Raw genomic sequence first — 11,604 nt, forward strand, 5'->3', positions numbered from 1 at the left:
CAAAACTAAACATGCTACCTATTATCAACTACTAAAAACTTTTCAAAAGTGTGTTAACATAGTACAAGCTGTTTGTGGTGTTTTGGTAAATACAAAGAGCATAAAGAGTCTAAAATTTATCCATAATCTCATGAGCATTCAGAGAGGTCCATTTTAACATTTTGGTGGATTTCTTCCCATTTCTTAACAGATTAGATAGATACTACTGTGTAATCTATTTTACACACTTTTCCATTGAATATTACACTACATAAACCTCTTAAACGCTCTTGATCCTTGAACGCAAGTGTTCCCAGGAGACTTGTATCAATAAATAAGTCCTGCAGCCTTTGGAGAGCTGCCCCCAAGCACCCCAAATGTTCTTTGCAGATCTGATTAGGGGCTGATGTGCAAAGGTGGTCCTTCCTCTACTACGTCCCGGATTGCAAATAGAGGAAGGTTCTCTCGGTGAATATTGCTGTTGTTTCTGACTGGACAGCCGAGCATTTGCTCTTATATCAAACAAAGTACCCATCAGCTTTCTGCTGATCTGGAGAAGGTGGCAGATTTCAAAAAAAAATAAAGCTTTGACCAGGGACGGACTCCTGTGGGCTGAGCAGCAGGAAACCTGCTTTGAAGATTGTAACTTATCAAGCCAGTCAGATGGAGTATGCTGCTGTTGGAGGTATTTTTAGAAGCCTAATTCAGCTGGGAGAGGGTGGAGGGGAATCTAGATTTGTACTCAGGTCCAGTGACAGGCAATTTAACCTAGTGAAATCATCTTCTGACCTCAGCTCCGGGGAGAGGACCCCACATCGACGGCTGGGCAATCCCTAACCTTCAGGAGCAACTGTCTGGGCTCTTGGCAAGCATGCAGCTCCGGCTTACCCGGAGCCTCTGCTCACAGTTCTCGAGCTGCGGTCCCCATTTCAGAGCTAGGAGATGCTGAGGCTCACAGGAGATCAGAAACGTGCCCTGCACCCTTGGCTGTACCTGGTCTCTGCTGTTCATGGATGCTTAAGAGCAAGCAGGCTGCAGCAGGTGGGACTGGCAAAGACCAAGGCAAAATAAGCTTTTCAACTGTAAAGGAGCAGTAGCTACCAAACGTGCTTCCCAGGGTTTGTCAGTTGGTACAACTCTCATAGAAACATAACCCAATCAAGGATTCCTAGGAAGTTAGATCTGGAAGGGATCTGAGAAATAAGATGGGTCAGAAATCACTCTGCTTTTCCTAGAGCTGAGTCCCACCCCACTGAGGCTGTCTCCAGCAGTGCATTTAAAACATTTGGAGGTGTTTCCCAACTTTAAAACTCAGGAGATTTTACATAAAATCTGGATTTCTGGCTTACCTGGAAGAATTAGGACATCTTCCAGTACCAGGTTCCTATTATTGCAGGACAGCAATAAGCCACCCTCTGCAGGAGGAGCACCAAGTCCCCAGGTTGCCACCATCTCCCCCATTCCCTATTACGATTCTTATCTAGCAAGATCCGTATATGCTAAGACCCATTTTGACGGATGAGCAAATTGACCTCTGGAGATTTTTGCAATGTGTCCAGTGTCAGACAGCTTGTGAATCTCCTTGTTGCGCCCCTCCTGGCCATGTATACTTCTGCTTATAACTACCTTCTATTCACAAGGTCTCTGCAAAGTCTTCAGTGTGGTCCTCATAAACAACTAGGATTTCCTCCCTTCCTATGAAAGCCCAGCTTGAGCTCTCATCATTGCTGAAGTGAAGCCCTCCCTCTATTAGCAAGGCAAATTGAACGGGGTAGGGATGGGGGAGAACAGAGCTCTTAAAAGAAGATCAGGGTTCAGTGACTCAAGGCTTGAACTCATTTGTAATCTCTCTAACCTCAGCTACACATTAGAATCAGATTCCCCAACCCCAACCCAGACCAACTCTATCAGTATCTCTGAATCCAGGTGTCTGTATTTTTAGAAGCTTGTCAGATGATTCTAATGTGCATTCACAGCGGGGATCCACTCCTCTGATCACGTTTCCACGTGGCTGCCCCAGCTTCCCTTAGTACTCACATGCCCTTTTGGGTAATTTAGTTTGGGGAGTTCCCCTTCCTCATCCGGAAAATGAGGAGGATACATTGGATGCATGATTTCTAACTTGGGATGCTTTGTTCCTTGACATCCACAAAGGGAATTATGAGATCACCGAGTGCCTTTCAATATTGCAAAATGTCTAGTAGAAATCACACACTCATGTTAAGGCTGCACACATTGATGAAGATGTTACATTTCTTTGCTTTTACCTGCAATTATATTTCCTCAATGTAGTGCTTCCAGTTTCAAAATATGGGGTTTGGGGAGAGAGGGAAGAATGTCCCTGGTGATTACAAATGGAGAGAGAGAGAGAGAGAGAGAGGAAAGAGAGAAAGAGAAAGAGAGAGAGAGGGGGAGGGAGGTAGGGAGGGAGGGGAAGAGAGAGAGAAAGAGAAAGAAAGAAAAAGGAAGGAAGGAAGGGAAAGAGACAAAGAGCGAGTGAGTTGGGCCTCATCGTAATGATTTCACAGTTCCTTCTAATTCAGCATTCTGTGGTTTGATGATAACCCAGGGAAGAGAAAAATGACTTCTGAGGAAGCAAATATACTCTTTGAACACCCTTCTTGTAAAGAGAATTACATTCTAACATAATACATTTTAGTCCCCCTTCTTTGTGGAATGTTCTAATTAATACCTGGAAGTCAACACACCCGAAAAAAAAAAATAGGTCCTAAATTCAGGGACCTCAACCCAGGAGGCCTGGTTTACTTTAATGAGCCCACCAGTTTGACAGCCACAATTGGGGAAGAGGACGGGAACAAGGACAGTGTTGTCAGGATACACATCAGCGGACAGTGACAAAAAATAAAACATTTTGTTACATGATAGATAAGTGCTTCCTGACAATCTGCCTGCTTTTATCTCTTTAGAGCCTCCCTCCTGCTCTACTCTCACCCAGCTGTTAAATTATTCTAGCCAACGCCACCATTTCACCAGTAAACATTTTCCTTGCCTGAAACTAGGAGGAATTTCATCAAGGAAGCAGACGCTGTGTTCGTTAAGCTGATTTTTGTCTTTGCTGTGTCTCCAAGGGAAATGCCCCCTTGAGTTTCCTTCTTGCATATGCAGGCAGAGCTGGTGACCATTGCTAGGCAACGTGTCATCATACATATTTCATCAGTGAAAGAAAGTCTATCTCAGAGAAGCCATCCTTCATCTATTCTAGGGCTTCCATTCTCCTTTATAAAAAGAATAGGAAAAAGGAATAGAAAGCCACCACCTCTATGTTCCCTGGCACCCGCGAGGAGGAATCAATGACAAAAGAATCAAGTGGAAAACTTAAAACCTAGGCAATAGCAATAGTTAATTTAGAAAACGTAATGGGGGGGTGGAAATTCCATTCATAATATTGTCTTAGCCAGCTTGGGCTGCTATAATAAAATACTGTAGACTGGATGGCTTAAAGAATAGACATTATTTCTCACTGTTCTGGAGACTACGAAGTCCAAGATCACGGAGCCAACAGATTCAGTTATTGGTGAGGGCCTTCCTCCTGGCTTGCAGACAACTACCTTCTTGCTATGTATTCTCACACAAGTGGAAAGAGGAATCTCCGATATATTTTCCTTTTCTTATAAGAACACTAATCCCATCAAGGTGGCCCCACCCTCATGACCTCATATACCATCCAAAGGTCCCACCTAGTACCATCACCCTGGGAATTAGGGCTTCAATATGTGAATTTTGAGAGGATACAAACACCATGCCATAACAAATATCAACCCAAACTTTCAAATGATGCTTACCAAAATTTTGCGTTGGCATATTAATATGAAGAGAATAAATAATTCAATGGTGTTGAAGGCACTATAAATACAACTTTAAAAAACAATAAGGCTGGGTGCGGTGGCTCATGCCTGTAATCCCAGCACTTTGGGAGGCTGAGGCAGGTGGATCATGAGGTCAGGAGTTCAAGACCAGCCTGGCCAACATGGTGAAACCATGTCTCTGCTAAAAATCCAAAAAAATTAGCCAAGCGTGGTGGCAGGCACCTGTAATCCCAGCTACTCGGGAGGCTGAGGCAGAGAATTGCTTGAACCCGGGAGGCGGAGGTTGCAGTGAGCTGAGGTTGCGCCACTGCACTCCAGCCTGCATGACAGAGCGAGACTCCATCTCAAAAAAGAAAACAAACAAAAAAAACAAACAAACAACAAAAAAAAAAACAATAAATACCTAAACAGAGGGGTGACAAAAATCTGGAACCATAACCAGAATATGAAGACTGGTTTTCTTAGGCAGTTAGCACTATGGATGTGATAGACAGAATTCTAAGGTGACTCCCATGATTCCCACCACCTGGTGTATGTTCCCTGTAAATTCCCCTTCTCTCGAGGGTGGGCAGGGCTTGTAAATGTGACGGGATATCACTCTATGCTTATGTTATATTATATGGCAAAAGGGATTTTTGGACATGTAATTAAGACCTGTAATCAGCTGAGTTAATCAAAAGGAAGATTACCCTGGGCAGATCGGACCTACTCAGGTGAGCGCCTAGAAGGGGTCTAGCAATGGGAGATGAAAGAAATCAGAGAGCTCCTGTGAGCCTGGAGTAAAGCATGAGCCAGACTGAGCAGAGGATTCAGCTAAGCTGCACCCAGACTCCTGAACACAGAAATGGAGATAGCCAATGTGTATTGTCTTAAGCTAACAGTTTTTAAAATTTTGTTTTGGTTTGTTCTTTTGAGGCAGGGTCTCACTCTGCTGGCCAGGCTGGAGTGCAGTGGCATGAACATGGGTCACCACAGCCTCAACTTTCTGGTCTCATGTGATCCTCCTGCCACAGCCTCCCAAGTAGCTGGAACCACAGGTGCACACCACCAGGCCCGGCTAATTTTTTTTTTTTTCTTTATTTTTTACAGAGGTTGAGGTTTCACCATGTTGCTCAGGCCAGTCTCGAACTCCTGGGCTCAAGCAATCTTCCTGCCTCAGCCTCCCAAAGTGCTGGGATTACAGGTGTGAGCCAGCACACTTGGCCTATTTTAAGCTAAGTCTGGGGTAATTTGTTACATAGCAATAGAAAATGAATATAGTGAGTGACTGTTGTGTTTTCTGTTTTCCATTTTTTGAAATTCCCATGTATTACTTTCATAACAAACAAACTGAAGACAAAGTTGAAAACTCCATTTGGAATACAGGATTTTTTTAAAGTACATCATTGTTGGCATCCTGAGGCAAAGGGAGCTTCTCAGAGTTTCCTGACACTTGGGCCACATTCACAAACTTCCTTTCTCACCATCAATAAGTAAAACAGGTTTATCATGACACTAATTCAGAACCTATTTTAAAAGGACTGTGCCCGTATGTTTATTGCGGCACTGTTCACAATAGCAAAGACTTGGAACCAACCCAAATTCCCATCAATGATAGACTGGATAAAGAAAATGTGGCACATGTACACCATGGAATACTATGCAGCCATAAAAAAGGATGAGTTCATGTCCTTTGCAGAGACAGGGATGAAGCTGGAAACCGTCATTCTCAGCAAACCAACACAAAAACAGAAAACCAAACACCACATGTCCTCACTCATAAGTGGGAGCTGAACAATGAGAACACATGGACACAGGGAGGGGAACATCACACACAGGGGCCTGTCAGGGGGTGGGGGGCTAGGGGAGGGATGGCATTAGGAGAAATACCTAATGTAGATGACAAGTTGATGGGTGCAGCAAACCACCATGGCACATGTATACCTATGTAACAAACCTGCATGTTCTGCACATGTATCCCAGAACTTAAAGTATAACAATAATAATCAAAAAATACTAATAGCAATACAGTGAGCCATTGGTATGGTTAGGTAACCATATCAATATGGCATTAAATGTAAATGGACTAAGAACTCAAATTAAAAAGCAGAAATTATCAGCCTACATCACAAAAGCAATATATAATTTTATGCTGTTTACAGGAATATGTTTTATATATAAGCAATTGGATTAAAAGTAAAAGAATGAGAATATTTACCAGGAAAATCGTATCACCTTGCTAGACCCAGAAAAAAACGTGACAAAGTTCAGCACCCATTCATGATAAAAACTCACAAAACTAGAAATAGAATGAAACCTTCTCAACCTTGAAAAGTGATCTATGAAAAGTTTACAGTTAGTATCATGGAAATCATGCAAGAATGAATGCTTTCTCCTAAGGTTAGAAACAAAGCCACGACGTTTTGCTTCAAACATTTATCTTGTATTGGAAATCCTAGCCAGCACACTATATGAAAAAAATATTCAGTAAAAATTGAAAAGAAAGCAATAAAACTATTTCCCACAGTATGCTTATGTAAAGGTCATAGCATTTGAGATCAATGTACAAAATCTAATTGTGTTCCAATAAAAATATATATAAAATTAAAAAAGGAGTGTGCCTTATAATGTACCTTATTCCAGAAATAAACAGAGATCAGACTTGGGTGTCTATGAAAAATTGTTAGAAAAGCACATGGGGATGTATACAAATAAGTGTCCATCACTGTCTCGCTTATAAAGATAAAATTCAGAACACGTATGAGCACTAGTAATTGCAGATTGATTAAAGTATGGTCCATTCATTCAACGGAATACCATGCACCCATTTTAAACATTACATAGCTGTGTATTTATTAATATAGAAAGATGTGCATGATATAATGTTATGTATTAAAAAAAAACAGGTTACAAGAACTCATAACAGCATGGGCCAGGCGCAGTGGCTCACGCCCATAATCCCAGCACTTTGGGAGGCCAAGGCAGGTGGATTGCCTGAGCTCAAGAGTTCGAGACCAGCCTGGGCAACACGGTGAAACCCTGTCTCTACTAAAATACAAAAATTTAGCCAGGTGTGGTGGCACGCGCCTGTAATCCCAGCTACTCAGGAGGCTGAGGTAGAATTGCTTGAACCTGGGAGGCGGAAGTTGCAGTGAGCCAAGATCACACCACTGCACTCCAGCCTGGGTAACAGAGTGAGACTCCATCTCCAAAAAAAAAAAGAACTTATAACAGCATGATCTCAATTTTTTAAAAAAAGATACATAGGGATAGATATATAGATATATAGGGATATATAAACCAGGATCTAGAGAAGGAAAGAAAGAAAAGTTGCTTGTAAGGGTGTACATCAAGGGGATAATAATGGTTACATCTAGTGGTTGTTTTATGGTCCTTTTCTTTTTGTTTATTTAGACTTTCTAATTTTTTCAATAAAAATAGATTAATTATGTAACTTTTCAGATACAAAGAAAAAATTAACTATCTAATAAATTAAAGACACAGAAACATGCGTGAGGCTGCTCATTAAAAGATTTCAGTTTCTACTTAGTAGTCAATAGCGGTTGATGTTCCTCAAGTTTTATTAACTAGTGGCAATATTCCTACTTGCCCTCATATTTATGGCAATGGTTCTATTTATTGATCCTTTTTTTTTTTTTTTTTTTTTTTTCAGATGGAGTCTTGCTCTGTCACCAGGCTGGAGTGCAGTGGTGCCATCTCAGCTCATTGCAACTTCCACCTCCCAGGTTCAAGCGATTCTGTCCTTCAGCCTCCCGAGTAGCTGGGACCACAGGCCTGCGCCACCACACCCAGTTAATTTTTGTATTTTTAGTAGACATGGGGTTTCACCATGTTGGCCAGGATGGTCTCAATCTCTTGACCTCATGATCTGCCTGCCTCGGCCTGCCAAATATTGATTCATTTTAATAGAGGACTGGTCTCTAGAATAGTCTCATAAATACGTTTTTCTTAGCACTAATGACATATTTTCCAGATACAAATTACAGGGACCAGTTCTCAATCACTGTGTTGTTATCACAAAACATGTAGAAAGCACCGAGAATTCCATCTCCATCATATGTATTGATGCTTTCATTATGAGGTACCCAGCAGAAGACATTCCAACTGAGAAAATGAACCCTTTCCATCACCTGCCCCTCACCTTACACCGACATCTAAGTGATGAGCTCACTCTTCAGGTTCGGAGTCTTCCTGCTGTGTTCAAAGTCATGGGAACAAAAGGCATTTAAAGTCCTAAAATCACTGGCGATGTTGACCAATGAGACATCTTCCTGGTGAGGTGAATGCTTGGCTGGAAGAGCACGTCTGTGTACATGAGAGAGTAGAAAGACCCCTGCCACAGGGAAGCTGTAAGTGAGGGCTCTGCCACCAGCTGGAGAGCCTAGTCCAGTGGTTCTTAACTGGAGATGATTTAGGCCCCCAGGAGACATTTGGCAATGTCTAAGGATATTTTGATTGTCACATGGGTGGGGGCTGTGTTTTTGGCGTCTAATGGGTAGAGGCCATAGATGTTGCTAAATGTTCTAAATTCACAAGACCACTCCTCACAACAAAGAACTTTCCAGCCCAAAATTTCAGTGGTGTCCTGCTTAAGAAACCCTGGTCTGGAGTGTCAGAGAGATACAAAGCTGGTGGTATCAAGGGCCTGACCAGGTGAGAGCAGAGCTCTCTTACAAGCTAAAACCGCCCCAAAACAGAGCAACAGCCAAAGTTAGACCCAATTCCACCTGATACTGAATAACCGGAAGTAGACTGATCCTACTCACGCAACTAGAAAACCAGACAAATATATCAAAAACAACACTATTGTCATCCGACAGCTAAGGACTGTCATCCCCGAGAGAAAGAAACAACTGAGGTTAGCCCTACGGTTGCTCAGGTTACTGCTGGAGGCATTTTCTAGGCTGCAGCACAGGAAAGGGACACCCAAGTAGAGTCAGGAAGTCTCCCTGAGGTGAGGAGATGGAGCAGAGGATCCAGTGAGGGCAGGGCTGCTGGAATTATGGGGAGGCAGCACAAGTCTATGCAGAAAGCGTCCTGAGCCCAGCTGAGTACTGATCTACACATGCTTAAGGGGAAACCACCTGGGACTGGAAAAAGAACCATCAGAAAGGAATACACAGAACAATTCCAGGGCTCACACATGGCTGGGTATGGTTTGTGTTCCCACTAGCCAAGGTGGAAGAGCTTTTAATGCACGTGATAATGGGTAAAATCCTCAGAAATGCATGGACTTAATAGTGGGGGCAAATTGGCCCTAGAATAAAGGCTGCCCTGAGCCAGACCTAACAAAATGTAAAAGCAAGCCCCAAAGGACTAAGAAGATTCCAAAGAATTTAACTGCATGCCAAAACAAAATTCAATACTTTCTGAAGGAATACAACAAAATCTAGCCATCAAGAACATAAAAATCACAATATCCAGCATCTAATAAAAACTTACCAGACAGCCCAGGTGTGGTGGTGCATGCCTGTAGTCCCAGCTACTTGGAAGGCTGAGATAGGAAGATCGCGCGAGCCCATAGGTTGAGGCTGCAGTGAGCTGTGAACCCACCACTGCACTCCAGGCTGGGTGACAGACCAAGACCCTGTCAAAACAAACAAACAAACAACAACAAAAAATACCAGATATGCAAAGAAATTTACCAGATATGCAAAGGAAAATATGACCTATAGCCATAGGAAAAAAATCAATCAAGAAAGAAAGACCTGGAAATCATAGAGATTATGGAAATAAGAGACAAGGACACTAAAATAACTTTTACTGTCATGTTCTATATATTCAAGAAGATAAACATGACCAAGATGAGGAAAGAAAAGGAAGACATAAAATATTGAGAGTGCTGATTTATTTCTTCATCTCAGCACTTAGGAACATGGTGTTGTGCTAGGCTCCGGGACAGCAGAGATGAGTAAGCCACAGCCCCTGCTCTTCTGCAGCTTATTTAGTAGAAAAGGCAGATGTTGAAACCATTAAATATGATAGGATGTGATAAATGCCATTGTAGTTTTGGGCAAAGTGTTGGAGGAACACAGCAAAGTGGAGTGTAACCATATATGGTAGGCAGTAGGGGGTAAGATGAGGGTCCTTTATCCTTAAGACAAATAGTAATAGCCACATTTATGCAATAGCAAAAATAATTTGCCAAATATTTATTGTGTCCCAAGAACCATAAGAAGCTTAGGGAAGAAACGAAGAAATAAAAACAGAAATGAACCCCTCCTCTTCTAAACACAGTATTTACTGACCACTGAAAATCATCCTGTCTTCACAACAACTCTGCAGGCGCACTCTGGTGGATCACATTAATGTTCCCCAATTTTTAACTGCCTTCTGTATCCATTCCTTTTGACTTGTACCTGAAGTTCTTTCCATCAAAGGATCAGAACTGATTTTCCTGCCCCACCACTTTCTGTTTGGCCACATGACTTGCTTTGGCCAATGGAAATGTTACCAGATGTGATATGACCAGAGACTTGAAAAATGCATGTGCATGTGGGCTTATTTTCCCGCATATGTGCCGGTAGCATGAGGAGAATATGCCTGAAACCAGGAAGACGATGAGAGACAAATGGCACAGAAGCATTACAACAACCCACAGACCTGCAGTAAGAAGCAGTTCACTGAATAGAGCCCAGTCTACATCAGACGAACCCCAGCCAGCCCACAGATGTATACGCCAACAAATGCCTATTGTTGCATGCCACTTTTATTTTGTGCTTGCTTGTTAGGCAGCAATATCTGACTGACATGCATCATCAGATGAAGGATGAAAGTTAGGTGACACAGCTAGAGTGATATTCCTAGTAAACAGTAGAACTGGGATTTGAATTTACATCTGCCTGACTCCAGAGCCAGCATTTTAACAGATTGCTGCTTCCCAGAAACCTCACTCCTGGGAATTTTCCTGAAGGCAATGATTCCTAAAAAGGTTATCTGCACATATATATTTACTGAAGTTTTGCTTATAACATTAAGAAAAATGAAAACACCCTAAAGTCTGCAAAGTAAAAGAAGCAGTTAAGCAAAGTATAATCTACCATCTTGAAGAAATGGCTTGTACTTATTAAAATGAAAATTATGAAAAATATGTAGCATTAGAGATCTATATTCTAATGTTAATCTTGGAAACCAAAATCTATTTTGTAGGTCAACTAAAAGTAAAATCGTGCGCATAAATATGCAGATTTGTGTATGTGTTTGCATACATATATGCAAATAGACAAGGGCAGAAAAGCAGTTTATAAAATGAAATCAATTTCAGAGAGTCGCGGGATTAGAAGCGATGTATTTTAGTCTTTAAATTTTCCATTAGAGTTGTTATAATAAAAACAGTGATTAAACTGACACACACATAGGTTTGATGTCACTCCTAATCCACTCAAAGGACTTACACAGCCACCCACTGCCAGGCTTCCAGCAATCTGGGTGTCACCGAGATTTTTCTCCCCAATCCTGTTAGCAATGGGCTTCAGAGTGCACCTTTACCATTACAAACCCCAACTACAGGCTTCTGAGGCTTACACTTGGCCTTAGGGAAGAAAGAGAAAAGGCCCTCAATCCCAAGAGGTCTTGCATTTGGCAGCCAGGACAGATTTTTCAGTTAATAAGGTCTTTCAAGTCAAAGTTGGAGCCAATTATTATCCCTCATGGTCAACCTGGTTAGAGGACAAGGAAGGGATGTGAATGTGCGGGGCATTTGCCTCCTCCCTCCTGCCTTTCCAGAATTCAGAGATAACTTGTACAAGAGCGCTTATGGGTGCCAGGGCTCTCCGCTGGACACGTGACACACAATATC

At 42.1% G+C, this 11,604-nt stretch overlaps 1 annotated feature.

Annotated features, from left to right (window-relative positions):
• Window positions 1,456-1,956: an enhancer, noted in NCBI's record as "NANOG-H3K4me1 hESC enhancer chr15:92848478-92848978 (GRCh37/hg19 assembly coordinates)". NCBI's record gives its function as "activates a minimal SCP1, AML or CMV promoter by ChIP-STARR-seq in naive H9 embryonic stem cells {active_cell/tissue: H9 hESC(naive)}" and the evidence as "EXISTENCE:reporter gene assay evidence [ECO:0000049][PMID:30033119]".

The sequence above is a fragment of the Homo sapiens genome, chromosome 15 (assembly GCF_000001405.40).
Source record: "Homo sapiens chromosome 15, GRCh38.p14 Primary Assembly".
NCBI classification, from domain to species: domain Eukaryota; kingdom Metazoa; phylum Chordata; class Mammalia; order Primates; family Hominidae; genus Homo; species Homo sapiens.